General features: G+C 43.8%; 1 protein-coding gene across 2 annotated transcripts in view; it reads left to right on the plus strand.

Moving 5' to 3' along the window:
* The window catches only part of UTP25 (UTP25 small subunit processome component), a 29,594-nt gene extending 18,578 nt beyond the window's left edge, over positions 1-11,016 (plus strand). For both annotated transcript variants that reach the window (NM_014388.7, XM_006711275.4), the window contains one exon: positions 4,655-11,016. In NM_014388.7, the coding sequence (NP_055203.4) occupies positions 4,655-4,898 (244 nt within the window). In that variant the 3' untranslated portion in view covers positions 4,899-11,016. The remainder of the gene's footprint in view (positions 1-4,654) is intronic.
* Positions 11,017-17,354: the final 6,338 nt, after the last annotated feature.

Here is a 17,354-nt window from a genome sequence, read left to right on the forward strand (position 1 = left end):
GTAGGAAGGAGCCAGTCTTTCAAGTTCATTGTGGTTGCCTCATTTGTCTTTAACAGTGGCTCGTGAAATAGACATGTGGAAGGTACTGTAAGGGTGATTAGGCTGTGTTTGTAGGAGTCACTGAAAACAAAGCATATATAAGGGAGGAGGAAGGCAGGGTAAGGGGTGCTCAAGCTATGGAGACTTGCCACTAACTGCCCCTTGGAAGAGGCCCTGGCCATGTTCTCTGTTGCCAGGAGATACTCAGTCTCTATTGTGGTTGCATTGGGACTGAGACAGATTTTCATGTGTGTGTGTTTAATATAACACTTAACAGTTTTATTGTTTTGTTTTTCCTGATTGTGAGGGTATTTCACAGTTATTGTAGAGATATTGGAAATTTTAGGTTAAAAATCTCACTGCCCTGATATAAATACTCTTTTTGGTAATTTTTTTCCATCTTTTTTATGTGAAAAATGTGTGCACATGCACACGTGCACACACACACGTGTTTTTTTAAAAAACAATACTAAAATTAGGATCTTTTTTTGTTTTAAGGATTTTTTTTTCCTTTGTCTTAGATGTTTTATGTGCTCATTTAAAAAAATTCAAAGACTAACATTTTGGCCTGTATATTTGTATATTGTGGATTTTTGTGTATATTTTTAAGTTACTATATATAGCTCTACGACATCCTCTCTTCCCCCAGGTTTTTATTTGAAAAGATTTCATTGTGAAAGAAAATTGTTAAGAGACTAACAATAAACATCTGTTTATTTATAAATGCTTTTACCCCAAATTCCACCAGCTGTTCTCATTTTATCACATTTGCACATACCCATCTTCTCTCTATCCCCACTCACATCTCTTATTTTTTCTTCCTGAACCATTTGAAAGTAAAGTAGCGTGAGTCTTCATTGACACTTCACCCCTAAATATTTTAGCATGTAGCTCCTAAAAACAAAAACATTCTTTTATCTAACCATAGCACCATTATCATGCTACCTGATGTTACTACAGTAATATCATCTGATATCTAGTCTATATTCAGATTTTGCTAGTTGTCACCAAAATGACCATTATAGCTCTTTCCCCTCCGGCCAAAAAGGATTCAGTAAGGATCATATATAGCATTTGGTTAACTTACTGCTTTTGTTTCTTTAATCTAGTTTAGTTCTCAATTGGGGAACAATTTTGCTCCCTCAGGGACATTTGGCAATATCTGGAGACATTTTTGGTTATCACAACTGGAGGATTATTCTGGTGGTTCCAGTGGGTTGAGACCAGTGATGCTGTGAAACACCTTCGTTCACAGGACAGCCCCCAACCACAAAGAATTATCTGTCTCAAAATGTCAGCAGTGTTAACACTGAGAAACCCTCATCCAGAATAACTCTCTTGCTTTTTTACTTTTTCATGACATCGACATCTTTTTGAAGAGTCCAATCTGGTTTCCTGCAGTATGTCTCACAGTCTGGATTTATCTAATTGTTCCCTTGTTATTTAGATCAGTGGTTCTCAAACTTTGCCGTACGTTAGAATAGAAGCTTTTAAAAATCCAAATGCCCAGGTCACATCCCAGTACCAATTAAATCGCAGTGTCTGGGATGGGGACCAAACCTAAGTATTAATAAAAAAAATAAAAAAACAACCAGCTAGGTGATTTCAATGTGCAGCAGTTTGGGGATGACTGATTTAGAATAAATATCTTTTGATAAGAATTCTACTTAGGGAATATTACGTACTTTCTACCTCATCTCATCAGAAGGCACGTAATGTCACTTTGTCTCATTCTTGGTGATGCCAAATCACTAAAATCACTTAGTGTGTGTATGTAATTAATAAGTAACGTGTGAGGTAAACATCACATTGTTTTTAATGGCTACATAGTATTACATTGGTTAATTAAGCTAGCTTCCTTTTAGTGGGCATATAGGGGTTTTTTTTCTGTTTTCTGCTGTTGTATATAATAATACGCAAAACATCCATATGCATATGTTTTGATGAAATACTTACCTAGTTATTTTCTTGGGATAGATTTTGAAAGGAAAACTCGTTAGCACAGAGGCTGTACACAGTTAAAAATGTGTCATGCGTTGCCACTTATTTGCTCCTTTGCATCTTTTCCATATCTTCTCCTGAATTCATAGACAAAGTAATTTATGCTCCATTCACCTATTTCTCCAAAGCTCCATAGACTGAATTATTGCTACTGATGTGATAGTCAAAATGATACCTCATTGTTTGGATGTCTTTTCTTGCTTTTTTGTGTCTTCTATAACTTTCAATGGAATGTAGAGGCTGAAGTAAATAATACTTATGTCCGGCCGCACCCCTTCCGTAGGCCACTGGTGTGGGTGCTATCAATCTAGTCAGGATTTGATTGTTACTGTAGATACCTTCCCAACACCACAGACCTCAAATTCCTCCAGCAGACAGTGGGCTTGGTGTAGGGTCTCGGGTGCTGGAGGGTTTTTCTCAGTGTCCTGATTGCTCAGCTGTCACTGAGGCCTTGACACGTGTGCCAGAGGAGGGTCTCACTCCACACTCAGACCCCTCCTCACAGGAGGCCTCTTGTTTCTCCTTGCAAGGCATGAAGTCGGGGGGAGGGGGTTCTCCTGGTCCAGCTCAATTTTTGGCAGGCCCTTTTTATTCCAAGCTTTGGGGGTGAGGTTTTCTCAGGGTTCCTGCCCCGCTACCTCCGTGGCAGCCAGACTCCACCTTTTATCTGTGAGGGATCTTTGTGGTGAAGTGTATACAGCTTCTTCCCTAATCGAACTCTGCTTGTATCAGTGCAGGAACTTGGGCTGAACAGGTTTCTTACCCCTTCCTCTGGGGCAGAATGCTTTTTACTGGGTACAAGTCTTGTGTGGGGGACAAATGGAAGGGTGGGGGTTTACTGCCCTTCCCTTAAGGGCAGACAACTTTTGCTTCTACTCACCCTCCCCCTCAAGTGGTTTGCCTTTGCCTGCCTGCGATTAGGGGTGGGGGACAGGGTGGCTCCTTTCTTCTCCCCCGTGTGCTTCACGTTTTTACCATGGGTTTCACGATAATGGGCCTGGGAAGTAGGTGGGCTTTCATGTCCCTACCACCAGTGGGGTCTCCCTCGGGTCTTCTGCTTTCTCCAGGGCTCCCAGTGCAGGCCTCTGGAACAAGCTCATGAGTGGATGTGAACTAAAGGAGCATCCAGGGATCCCTGGGGTCCTGAAGTCAGGCAAGCCTATTCTTGCCCTTTAAGAATGTGTTAGAAGTGTATCTATTTTCTTACTACCCACTTTTTTGGCAGAGGCCATCTTTCTCCTGTGCTCTGCCTAAGGTGCAGTAGTTCCTGTGTCCCGTTTTTCCTCAGAAGGGCTACTCTTTGGAACTCAGTCCATGGTGAGCTGAAGCTGGCTCACACTGGCTCATGAGACCTGGCTGCACATCTCTGGGTCAGCAGCATGACATTGGTAGCTTGAAACTGACAAATCCTTCAAATTAGCACCCTCCCTTTCTCCCACTGAGGACCAATTATTAAACATACACCAGCTCACCACCTAATTCAGGTTACCTGATTGCTTCATGATGGTAGCTCTTTGGGCTCAAGAAAAGGAACATTTTTGTATAATAGATTATCTGACTTTTTCTTATTGGTATAGGAGCAATATTCTCGAGTTTTATACATTCTAAGCAGAAGTAGAACTCAGTGTTGTTTTTGTTTTGAGAACTAGTGAGGTAGAACAGTTTATTCAAGTTCATTAGCCGTTAGAATTCCTTCTTTATGGAAAGGATGTTGAAAGGTGAACCACATAATAGATCACAGTCATGGTTTGGGAAAGGAAGGTCTCCAGAGAGATCAGGATGAGCTGTGAGGGAAAAAGACAAGGAAAACTTACCTTCTGTGAAAGAAATAAAATCCCCAAGGGAGTCTAACGTCTTCAGTGTATGAGAGAAACTTAACAGGAAAAATCAGAAGCTTGTCAACATATAAAATCTTTTGTTATGGAATCCCACAGGGGAACGGTTGACGTCAGCCTGACTGAACCATACTGCAAGTCAGTCCCTTGGGTGTACACCACCCCCCACCACAGGGCGGCACTGTGCAGCTGGGAAAGAGATGGAAATGCATACGCTGTTGAAACTAATTGCTTTCTCATGATGCCTAGTGGGTCCTTGGGCAGGGTTTTGTAAATGGATGAACTTGGGACGTCTGCCATGGAGTTAACATGTATCCAGAGTGGCAAGAAAAGACTAATGGGAGTGTATTTACAATCTGTACAACTTATTTTATGTACTGGGTCTGACCTTGTCTCCATTCTTTTTTGCCTGATTATAATAAGGCTAATGTTCCATTTTAAGTGCCTGCTTTTTAAGTTTTCTGTGACAGATTTTTAAATCCTGGTCTACTATTCTTTCCCATGATACCTCAGCCTACCCAGTGTAGGATCAAGAAATGTGTATTTATTTTATCATTTTCTTAAGCCAAATATTAGGAATTCGAATATGTTGTCATAAAAAGAATTCAAATATGTTGCCACCTCAAGTTAGAATAACTTTTGTTCTGTTACTTGTGCCACTGTTTTTCTCCATTAGCAGGAAGCAACAAGCATGAACTATGCCTCTGTACAACTCCTAGGTAGTTTTTCTAGAACTTGTTTCTCAAGTTGACATAGCTCTTTCTTTCCAATTCTGACAGGTATACAATAAAAGGCATCAGGAACCTGATTTTCTATGAACTGCCGACATATCCACACTTTTACAGTGAAATCTGTAATATGCTGAGAGCCACCAACAGAGGAGAAGAGGCCACGTGGACCTGCACTGTTCTCTACTCCAAATATGATGCCCAGAGGTTAGCTGCCGTGGTTGGTGTGGAGCGGGCGGCACAGATGCTACAGTCCAACAAGAATGTCCACCTCTTCATTACTGGAGAAAAATGAAATTTTGTTGGGCAGGAAGTGGTATTTGGCATGATACATAATGTTTGATTCTATGCCATTTGGACCCAATTCTGATTACTTACAGAAGAAGGACTGATACAAAGAAAGTGCATGAGGCAATGTCAGTATTATCTGACATCTTTCTTTTCAGGTCATGTGTCCCTGAAAAGTTAAATGTAAACCAGATTTTGGTAAATCCCATCTTTCAGAAGTGAAGAGGGGGCTAGAAGGACTCTGAGAAGTTGGTAGAAGAAAACTCCCACTTGTGAATATTTTTGTGAGACATAAATTCTTTTATTACGATTTACCTCTAATTTATTACACTTAGTAAATTCTTCCAGATTTTTCTATTTGTTTGACACTTCCTTAAAGTAAGGAATACACATTGCTTGCGAGAACTGGTTATGAGACATTGGAATACTTCTTGCTGCTACATGTCATCTTAATTTTGGATGGCATGGGTTTTGTAAAACTTATTCTGCCCCAGCCAAACTTTTTTGAAACCTTAAATAGTCTACCTTAATTCAGCCTAGAAGAGTACATTGATTTACTGATCTTTTTTCATATTCATAATACTAAATGTTTTAGTTTTGTTCAAATATATGCTTAAAATCACGTTATTTAAAAAACACATCAGCTCTGTCTCAAGAAGTAATTTTGTTGAAACTCCATGTTAAAATATCCATCTTCAACAGTAGTGTCTTCATAATAACTAGTCATTTTTTCAGTCATAAACAGATGCAAATAAAAAGGAAATTACACTTTTAAAAACATTTTTATTTTGAAACATTCTCAAACAGAAAAATTCCAAGTACAGAACCTGAACCATTTGAGAGTGAGTTGCCAACCCAGTGGGCCTATCACCTTTAAATACTTTAGTATATATTTCCTGTAAACAATTAAGGGTATTGTTTGTGATTAGGAATGCCCCACCAATAAGGATAATGTGAATATTTCAGAATCCAAAAAAATTCGAAACACGTCTGGTCCCAAGCATTTCAGATAAGAGATATTCAACTCATCCTAGTATGGACTCGTAGTTTCTTCTTTTATTCAATGGGTTACGGTTTGTTACATCATTATTTCTTTAGATGCGTAACTGGTCTCAAATATGGCCGCTGGGAGCACCTTCAGGTTAGCCCCTGTGTACTTTTGACATGTCCCCCATCTACTTGGGCACTGCTGTATTTTTTGACAATGAGACATTCCAGGTTTCTCTACTCCAGCCCTGCTTGCTTTTAGTAGGAAATTATTATAAAAGGTTAGATTGGAGTGCTTACTATTGTGGTGCCACTCATCCCAGGCTCAGTGGTCAGAACTTGGGAATTGTGTACATGTATGCACACACATATGTACACACGTTGTCTAAATTTGCTTCACATTAATATCTAAATTTACTTTCATATCCATATATTGAAAACCATGAATTCACACCAGTACCTCCAATTCTAGTCCAACAACACAGGATTGCTTCTCATTTTCTTTCCATATTGATAACTCCTTTCTCAGACAGTGGCTCCCATTATCCTCAATGTAATAACCCATGATTGGTACAGATTTTTTTTATCCTTGGGCACGCTTAAAATTACTTAGCAAAAACAAAAAGTAAAATCAGTTTTGAAGTAATATTTCTGCTAAATATTTAGACATTTTTACTTCTTTTTCTTCAGCATGGTAAGTAAAACCATTTATTCCATATTTAGATGGTTTTCTAAATTTCAGAAAATTTAGTTAGATAAAAGCCGACCGAACCCATGCTACAAAGAACTTTTTGTATCTATAGGCATGCCCTGTGGTTACTGGCGTAATTGTGCTGCTGTTTATCATAGATCCTGTATATTATGAGAATAAGAAATGAGTTTATTTACCTCATTCAGAAATGTGAGGCGAAGGGACTGTAATTACCTGGATCTTTTTTTTTTTTTTTGAGATGGAGTCTCGCTCTGTTGCCCAGGCTGGAGTACACTGGCATGATCTTGGCTTACTGCAATCTGTGCCTCCCGAGTTCAAGCGATTCTCGTGCCTCCGCCTCCCAAGTAGCTGGGACTACAGGCGCATGCCACCATGCACAGCTAATTTTTTATATTTTTAGTAGAGATGGGGTTTTGCCATGTTGGCCAGGCTGGTCTCAAACTCTTGACCTCAAGTGATCTGCCCACCTCAGCCTCCCAAAGTGCTGGGGTTACAGGCCTGAGCCGCCACGCCTGGCCAATTACCTACATCTTTTTCTACTGCCATATTCTTTTGCCTGTGAATTGTAGTTCATCTCGTGGTTTCCATTATTACTATTCACACGACTCCCAAATCTCCAGCTTCTCTGGCTCTCCACTCACATGTGAGTCTGGATTTCAAATCCATGATGTAGCCCCAGAAATAACCATTTTATTAAGCACCCCTAGTGATTTTCATGCTGGCATAGAGCCAAACCCAGCCAACTGCTTCTTGCCTGCAGAGAACACTGAGGATTTCAAGTGTGAACAAAGTAGTGTTGCTTTGTTCCTGGCTCAGCACCTGAAAAGAAGGTAAGCCTCTGCAGTTAGCCCTGGCTCCTTAGTGCATTGCAGAGTGGAGTCTCTGCAATGGTTTTATTAAAAGGATGCCTTGAAGATCTGGTCTCTCTCAACACACAATAAGCGAGAAGAGAGGCTACTGAAATACGGATGCGTGAGCTGGAATTACACACTACCTTGATGTTAACAAGGCTCATTTGCAGCAAGCAAGTGCCTATATAGGGTCTGAAATATAGACAAAGGATGGTCCCAATCCTGGAAACAGTGGAATTAAAAGGTATGGAAAGGAACTTACCCAGAAAGTAACACTTTTAAATGTTTTTTCTTTTCCCATAGTTAAAACAACCAGCTTAGCACTTTTCTTTTTGAGAGAGAAAAAGCTTTGAATCGTGGATGCTTCTCACAGCTGGCTGCACCACGTGCAGTGTTCAAAAAACAAGAACAAGCTAATCATAGAGAACCAGCAGCAGCTAAACAGCCCTCTGCTTGCTTCCAAAGGGCTTATAATTGAGCACAGATGGTCCTAGTGGAGATGGGGAATGTGTCCCTGCTGACTCCTCATACCCCAGAGGACCAAGGGGGGCTCATGAAGGCTCTCAGCCCTGATTGTGCCCTCGTGAGGGCAAGGAGCTATGCTGCTGAAGGAGGAAAGGGAAAGGCAGGTGGGGCCAGACCCTATTGGCCATCTGACCAGCCTTCCCAAGCCCACGTGAGCAGATCTAGGGTCTCAAGATTACAGAAGGCCTGGGGTGAGGGAGCAAGAGTTGGAAGTTCTTTATAGTTGTCTGAAGAGCCTCATTGTCCAACTGCAGGGGCCTGAGGTGCCCAAAGCTTCGTGGAAAAGTAATGTCAGTGGAATGCTCAGAAGTGGCTCTTTTCAGGGCACGGCTTCTGAGGAGCGTGGGGCCACCACAGCTAGCCCTCCCTCCGTCTAGCCATCCTCTCCTTCCAGTCCCTTTCCCATCTTTTCTCTCAAAGGAGCATGGTAGTGATCTTCATTACCAAATTTCTACTCCACACTTATTTTAAAAAGCTTTTCTGAAAGCCTGGCTACATAGAATTCTAAACAGATTTCAGTCAACTTTTAATTAGAGTCAATGAATGGGGAGTAAATACACAGATAATCCAAAATTGATGTAAGCATTGGAAGGGGAAAGAGGGAACGCTTCTTTCCCTCTGGGCTTGGTCATTTCCTCCCAAGCAAACCCCGCGACGTTCAGCCGTCTTCCTCCTATGCCACGTGCTCTCACCAGAACTGCAGCAAAACTGCATTTTATGTCCTGTGTCTAAAGCTAAACACATGTTCCTGTCTACTTTTGCTTTGTTCCTGTTTCCCTTCTGTGAGGACCTTCCCCTCCTCAGATGTGGGGAGTTGCCGCCTCCACTTGCATTACATGTATTTCAGAGTAGGTCCTAGGCTCCCCTTACACCTCTGGTCACGTTGCCATTATTCCTATGGTAGATAAAGGGGATGAGAAAGAACAGAGCTCCAGGCCTTTTTCAAACAAACTGGTTTTCTCAGTATAGCCCTATGCTCAAAAGGAGTGAGGACAGGTATGTGACTGCCATAAGGAGCTGTTTGCTTTGCACAGAGAAATCTAATCTTTCTCCTGCTGGGCAGCTCAGTACAGATGTCCCCTCACTGCTGGAAGAAACACCTGCCCTTGCTTGTTCTCCTGATGGCCCCTCACAGTCAGGTGTGGGATGGCACATTTCTAGGTGCTCCTCGCCGAGCTGTCATGGGCTTCAGTCTTGGGCCTCTGCAGCTGGCTGTGACCAGGTGGAAACTGTAGCCTTGGCTGACCCAGAGAAGGAAAGGAGGCAGTCTGCCGCTTGGCTGATTTAGGAGTTGTGCTGAATTCCTGCCCATCTGTTCTCCCAGCTGAGCCAAGGCCAAAGCTGTCTACCTTTTGCCAACCTAAGGAATGACACAGAGCATGGAGCACCATCACTGAAACATCTGCCCCAGTGCCCTGCCACCTTCGTCCTCACTGACCTCTGCAGCCTCTCTCATCTGCCAGTTTTGATTCCGCAAGGAGAGGTGGCCCTGGGCTCACAGCTGGTGTTTGTCCACAGATGTTCATGGGTTTCTTTGTGTTCTCTCATTTTTTCAAAGCTGGGTGTTGGGACCAACATCACCACTGACATTCTGTGGCTCTAAACAAGTCCTCACGACCACTTCTCAGTTTTCTCATCTTTATGAAGTATGGAGTAATCCCCACTAGCCTTATAGAGGGACTGTGTGAGAAGGGAAGAGACTGCTATTGTTTGCCCTATATCCACCTACTTCCCTAGTTCCAGAACGCTGGACTTTAATGAGATAACAAAGTACCTAGTAAAAACACTGCATCATTTTCCATCCCCCACCCCTTGCAGTAAAATGTGGCCCATGAGACAGAAGCACTAACTACTGAGCAGGACTTCTAGGGGAGTTCTTTAAAACTCAGAGGAGCACCACTTTTACCTTCTGCTCTTCCCTTTTTCCTGCCTGGAACGCAGAAGTGATGGCTGAAGCTCCTGAGGCTATAAGCTCTGTACGTAGGAGAGTGGTGAAGAAAGGAGCTTGGTTCTGCAAGGATGTTGTAGAGCTGCCATACCAGTCCTGCATGGTATTCCTGTGCACTACTGTTACGTGAACACACAAACACCTAATTTGTTTAAGCCATTAGGCCAGGCCTCTATTAGCCATTCCTGACTGATACAGAAGACAAAAATGGCATCACAGACTCCTGAACTCCAAAGACACTGCCTATTCTTTCGTCTGTTCTTGGCAAGCACCAACATTGAGACTGTACTTCAGGGTTGATGCTGGCCATTTGGTGGCGTGAGGAGTGGGCACTCACATGTCTCTGCTAGCAGTTCTGACGTGTCCATTCCACACTGGATCCATAGAACGAGGGAACACAAGTGTCTTCTCATAAGATTTATAGAAACAGTGATCGTTGCAGAAAAATAATTAGCAAGAGAACAGACTTCAGCTCTCTGAAGGCTGATGACCACCTGTTTCTCATCTCTTCTAGTGTATGTCAAAGCTAAATTAGGTCAAATAGGAAATAAGTCAGAATCCCCAATTCGATAGAAACTTACAGGTCTTGTGATCTAATCTGCCACTTGATCCGTGAATTACCTATAGGTCATCCCTAAGAGGTGGCCTCCAGCTTCTGCTTGAATTCCTTCAAGGATGGGGTGCTCATTGTGGCTTTTCTAATCATCTCTGATTGTTAGAAACACTGTGAAACTTTTATCCATCAGTCCTGTTTCTGAAGCTGTACGGTACAAATTTTTTTTTTCCCCACTTAAGGCTCAACTATTGGAATACATCTACCATGTCTCCTATGAAACTTGCTTCTCCAGGCCAATCATCCTTACTTCCTTAAACTTTTTTTTTTCCTGAAAAGTTATTCTTTTAATCTTATTAAAAAAGCAACCCATGCCCATTCCACAAATACAAGTGAAATAGTGAAAAACAAAAATCAAACTACATCTATTTGGTGATCATTATTAATGTCTTATGTTTCCTCCCAGATTGTTTTCTGCATGAATAATAACCAACAATGTGTGTGTATGTATATATATGCTTTTGCATTAAAAGGTGGTTTTGAAGGTAACATTTTTTGGAGTACTGATTAAGCGCCAGCAACTCTTCCAAGCTCTTTGCATGTATTACATCAGTTAATCCCTCACACCCGTTTAAGGTAAGCATCCTTATTTTTCCCGATTTCCACACAGGCAGCACAATCCTGAAAACCTACACTGTTTTTACTAGATAATTACTTCTCTAAAAACAAAACAATAAAAGCACTCAATAAATAGTAGTTATTATTACCCTTTTTAATGAAGCAATCCTAATTGTTGAACTCTTAAAAGGACTAAGGGATGGCTCACACCTGTAAATCCAGTGTGTCCGGAATTGGTAGGTTCTTGGTCTCACTAACTTCAAGAATAAAGCCGCGGACCCTCGCCGTGAGTGTCACAGGTCTTAAAGGCTGCGTGTCTAGAGTCTGTTCCTTCTGAAGTTCGGATGCGTTTGGACTTTCTTCCTTCTGGTGGGTTCCTGGTCTCACTGGCTTCAAGAGTGAAGCTGCAGACCTTCGCGGTGTTACAGCTCACAAAAGCAGCATGCACCCAAAGAAGTGAAGAACAAAGATTCCACACCAGGACAGAGTACGAGGAGATGCCACTGCTGGCTCCAGCAGCCTGCTTTTATTCTCTTATCTGGCCCCACCCACATCCTGCTGATTGGTCCATTTTACAGAGAGCCGATTGGTCTGTTTTACAAAGAGCTGATTGGTCCGTTTTGACAGGGTGTTGATTGGTGCGTTTACAATCCCTAAGCTAGACACAGAAGTTCTCCAAGTCCCCACTAGATTAGCTAGATACGGAGTGCTGATTGGTGTATTCACAATCCCTTAGCTAGACATAAAGAGTCTCCAAGTCCCCATCAGATTAGCTAGATACAGAGTGCCCATTAGTGCATCCACAAACCCTGAGGTAGACACAGGGTGCTGATTGGTGTGTTCACAAACCTTGAGCTAGATACAGAGTGCTGATTGGTGTATTTACAATCCCTTAGCTAGACATAAAGGTTCTCCAAGTTCCCCACTAGACTCAGGAGCCCAGCTGGCTTCACCTAGTGGATACCGCAGCGGGGCCGCAGGTGGAGCTGCCTGCCAGTCCTGCAGCGTGTGCCTGCACTCCTCAGCCCTTGGGCAGTAGATGGGACCAGGCGCCCTGGAGCAGGGGCCGGAGCTCCTCGGGGAGGCTTGGGCAGCGCAGGAGCCCACGGCGGGGGTGGGGGAGGCGGCTCAGGCATGGCCAGCTGTAAGTTCCGAGTCCTGCCCCGCGAGGAGGCAGCTGAGGCCCAAGAATTTGAGCGCAGCGCCAGCGGGCCGGCACTGCTGGGGGACCCAGGGCACCCTCCGCAGCTCCTGGCCTGGGTGCTAAGCCCCTCACTGCCCGGGGCGGCGGCGCCAGCCGGCCGCTGCAAGTGCGGGGCCAGCTGAGCCCACGCCCACCCGGAACTCGCGCTGGCCCGCAAGTGCGGCACGCAGCCCCGGTTCCCGCCCGCGCCGCTCCCTCCACACCTCCCGGCAAGCTGAGCGAGCCAGCTCCGGCCTCAGCCAGCCCAGAAAGGAGCTCCCACAGTGCAGCGGTGGGCTGAAGGGCTCCTCAAGCGCGGCCAGAGTGGGCGCCAAGGCCGAGGAGGCGCCCAGAGTGAGTAAGGGCTGCGAGGGCTGCCAGCACGCTCTCACCTCTCACCCAGGACTTTGGAGGCTGAGGTGGGTGGATTCCTTGAGGTCAGGAGTTCAAGACCAGCCTGGCCAACATGGCAAAACCCCATCTCTACTAAAAATACTGAAATTAGCTGGGTGTGGTGGTGGGCGCCTGTAATTCCAGCTTCTTGGTTGGTTGAAGCACAAGAATCTTTTGAACCCGGGAGGCAGAGGTTGCAGTGAGCCAAGAAGACCATGCCACTGCACTCCAGCCTGAGCAACAGAGGAAGACTGTGTCTCAAAAAAAAAAAAAAAAAAAAAAAGGACTAAGGGAGATGATAATATTTTCTTGGGGAGGGTTGTTATAAACATTAATTGAGTTGTTTGTGTGCCATCCTTCTGGATGCCAAGTCTCTGTCGCCCAGGTTGGAGTGCAGTGGTGCGATCTCGGCTCACTGCAAGCTCTGCCTCCCAGGTTCAGGCCATTCTCCTGCCTTGGCCTCCCGAGTAGCTGGGACTACAGGCGCCCGCCACCACGCCCGGCTAATTTTTTTTTTTTTGTATTTTTAGTAGAGACGGGGTTTCACCGTGTTAGCCAGGATGGTCTCAATCTCCTGACCTCGTGATCCTCCCGCCTCGGCCTCCCAAAGTGCTGCGATTACTTACAGGCGTGAGCCACCGCGCGCGGCCACCACCAAGTGACATTCTGAAGGAGAATTCAAGCAACCTGAAAAGCATAACGTCTCATATGTCAGGATCATTTAAGGCATATTTTTCACTCCTTTGCTGCCCCGTTTATCCTTGGTCCATTGAGGTTTGCCCAGAGAGATTAAATTCTTAGTGTCAGTACAAATAAAAATTAATTTTTTTTTCTTGAAACACACGCATGCACAGAGAAGCAGCATAAGAATGCGTGAGTACTGAAGCCAAGCTGCCTAGGTTCAAATCTTTGCTTTAATATTTTCTAGCTGCGTAACTTTTGGCAAATTCCTTAAACTCTCTGTACCTCAGTTGCTATCTGTAAAATGGGGATGGTCATCATAATACCTGTCTTCAGAGTTACAATAACTAAGTTACTTAATCCATGCAGGGCACTTAGAACAAGACCAGACCTTCTTTTCCACGTTACAAAGATTAGTAAAATTTTAGAAAATTAACTGTTATTTTGTATTATTCTTACTTATATGCCTCATACTCTTCAAAGGAAAGAAAAGAGATTTTGAGAGAGAATGGTTCAGAAAAACAGCTGTAGGGATCTTTTTTACTTAGCAAATTCCAACTCTTAGGGGTGAGGGCGCTTATGCGTTAGGAACACCAGGTGGCGCTGTAAACAAGTACAGTAAGGAGATCTGCACCTCCCCTCGGGTGCCGGCCTTGGGCTGTGGGGCTTGTGCCTGGCAGCTCTCAGAGCTGGAGAAGACAGAGACCTAGGCCTCTTTTTTTTATTTTATTTTATTTAACAATTTAAATACATAGGAAATTAAGAAATTCAAAGAGTTACAAACAACTGTGATAGAATTTGTTTATAAGTTAACACATTAAAATGATTTCATAATCGTGTATTTATTTCAGGAAATAATTTTATGGAATAGTGAACATTACCTTTTAAGAAATGGAAAATCTCCAATAGGTTCTATGGCATATTTAAACTCACAACTAATTTCTTAAAAACTAACTTAACAAACTCTAAATGATAATAACTGTGAGTAGCTTCATTTGGTTATTCATAACCCAATTCACAACCAAATTTACATATATGAGGCCCAAGCCCAACAGCCCCCTGGCTCCCCATCACCACACTCTGGCTACACCTTTCTGCAGAGAAGAGATTGACCATAATCCCTTTAGAATTGTGGTTTCTTGTCTAACCTTTTTCCAGAGGGGTTAGAGTTTTTCTCAGAGACGGGGAGATTTTCTCTACTGGGTACTTCCCTAACTTCTTTTCCATCCACTGCCCCCAGGCCTAGGTTGTCACTTCCTTCCTTCTTGAGACTATCCACTCCCGTACCTAGGCCAGGGTGGATGTCCTCACACTTGCCCTTTGGTCCTCCTCTTGGGAACAGTACTTCCCATGCCAAAAGACATCAGGAAATCATGGGGAAAGATAGGTGAATTAATATTTATGGAACACCTACTGTGGGCCAGGCACTGTTGTGGGTGCTTGATGTACATCAGTCATCTCACAACAACCCTTAAAAGCCAGCTGATTGCTTATCACCATATAGCAGGGGAAAAACATGCTTAGAGAAATTGGGCAGGTCTCCCAAAGTTAAACAACTGGCTAGTGGCCAATGCCACATGTTTTTTTCTGAATCCCCATGTGATTGAATCCAGTGGAGAGGGAGGTCAGGACCAGCCACTCAGATGGAGATGAGTCTGCAAGGGAATTTCTCCCTTTCCATCTGTGTCCGAGTCTTGTCAGTTTTATCAACCCACTGCCTCAAACGTGAGCTCACCTCTCTAACTTCCTTCCCACAGCTTTGCTTAGTTCAGACCTTCATTAGTCTTCATGGCATAATCTACACTTTACAAACTGATAAACTAGGCTTTTAATCTCAGCTTTACCTTTTACTCCCAGTAAGTTACCTTTGCTTACCTCAGTTTCCTTATTTGTAAGGTAGAGATGATTATGTCTTTCTTGAGTGGTATTGTAAGGATGAAATGAAACCACATACATTAGAAAAGAAAAAGAGTCTCCTTCTCTCCCTTTTCCTTGGTCTGAGCATTGATTTATCCATTCTGTGAATATGTACTGAGCACCCACGATGTGCTAGAAATTATTTTAGGCACTTAGGACACAGCAATGAATGAGGCACACATATTTCCTGCACTCATAGAGTTAGAGTGCATAGTGTAGACAGAAAAGAAAGAATTAGAGGCTAGATAAAAGTACAATTTCAGATGGTGCTAAATGTTGGAAGAGAATAAAACAGGGTCAGGTAATAGAGATCTTTGACCATCCTGTTTCCTTTGTCCAGAATGCCCAATCACTACTCCTCCCCTGCTGAACTTCTCCTCTCTCAAGGCCCCCTTCAAATGATAATCTCTGTGAAATCATCACAGCTCGCTATGAACTTTAATCGTGCCCTCCTCTAGACTTTCCCACTGGTTGTCTAAATCCACCTGCGAGGCTGAGGACATTCACTCATATCTTACTCATTGTTTCATTCTGCACACCTTTGTCCCACCCTCAAGCAAAGCTCCACGAATATACTGAAGAGGAAAACTGACACTGTAACCCCAAAGAACTACCTGATACCTTGGTTTGCGAGTGGCAAATCCGAGAGTGAGGAGAAAGGGGACAGGCATCCTGGTACCTCCAGATGGGGACAAAGGAACAAACTTCCAAACAAAATGAACCATTCCCCTGGGATGTGTATGTGTTTGTGTGTGCACACACCCATGTGCTCATGACTGTGTGTGGTGTGTGTGCCTGTCTGTCATAGAGGCAGGGATGAAGACTGATAGGCGGGAAAATCTAAATCTAGCAGGAGGGATACTAGTTCTTTTGTTTGTTTTTTTCCTAAAAGGCTTTAGAAGCCTTCCTGCAAAAGGCTGGATTTCTGGGAGCCACTTAAATGAAGGCATTTTGCATATGAAGGACATGCAGAGTCTGAGTATGGTCACCCGCCCCTCACTGCCCGCAGTGAGCCGTCAGCCACCCGCATCACCCCAGCTCCAGCACCACAGTAGCAGACTGATCCTTTTTAATGAGATGCTCAGAGTCTGAGCACTCCTCCTCTCTGGGGTCCTAATCATTTCTCAGAAAGTGGCTGCCCTGCACCCTGGAATTCACGTTTTTTGTTTCCCTTTCCACCTCCAGCCACAGGGTGAGGAGGTGTCAACAGGAGGCGAATGGCTGTGGAACACCTGTCACAGAGTTCTTCCCATCCCCTGTGGGTGGGCAGGGAGATATCCCGGTTTTGTTCTATCTGTTATGAAACCTGCGGAGAAAGCTAAATCTGGCTGTACTGACTTAACTCCCGGGTCGAAAAAAGCTGCTTGAGAGTCTTGGGCACGGAAAGGAATCGAAGCCAGCAGCCATCATCTGTAGAGCTGTGTTTGTTCCCCACAGGAACCTGAACTCAGAGGAAATGCCAGCTGAGTTCTTCTTGCCCCATCTGTGACAGAATTCCAGCTGTTCCACGATAGCAATCTGGCTTGGAGAGTGTAGTGGCTTCCCTACACTCCATCAAAACAAAGCAGGGTGACTTGTGAAGATACTAATTTTGGCTCCATTTTTATTGCTCTAAATGTTTCTGCAAATTGCTACCAAAAAGTTAACCAGGTCTTGTGTTCTTTGCCTTGGGGAGCTTTGGGAGAAGGGTGAACAGCATTTTCCAGGCCAAGAGAACTTTGTTGGCGTGTCATGTAATTAGAGGACATTGAAGCTAGGGTGGAGGAGGGGGAGACAGAAGCAGCCAAAGGAAAAGAGTTTTGAGGCTTCTCCTAGAACAGGAGGGAAGGGTATTGCAAAGACCTTCCTGTCCAAGCATGGCACAAAAGCCATGACATTGCTCCCTTTAAGCACTCATAGAAGTTTGGAAAATAAACAGATAAACAGGTTAATGGCAGCGAATCCATAATGGTCTGCAGCAACCTCAATTCTTGCCTCCTCAGAAGAAAGAATTCAGCTGAGGGGCATAAAGCAGAAAAGGAGACCAAGCCAAGTTTTAGAGCAGGAGTGAAAGTTTATTAAAAAGCTTTACAGCAGGAATGAAAGGAAGGAAAGT

This window comes from Homo sapiens, chromosome 1, assembly GCF_000001405.40.
Source record: "Homo sapiens chromosome 1, GRCh38.p14 Primary Assembly".
NCBI classification, from domain to species: Eukaryota; Metazoa; Chordata; class Mammalia; order Primates; family Hominidae; genus Homo; species Homo sapiens.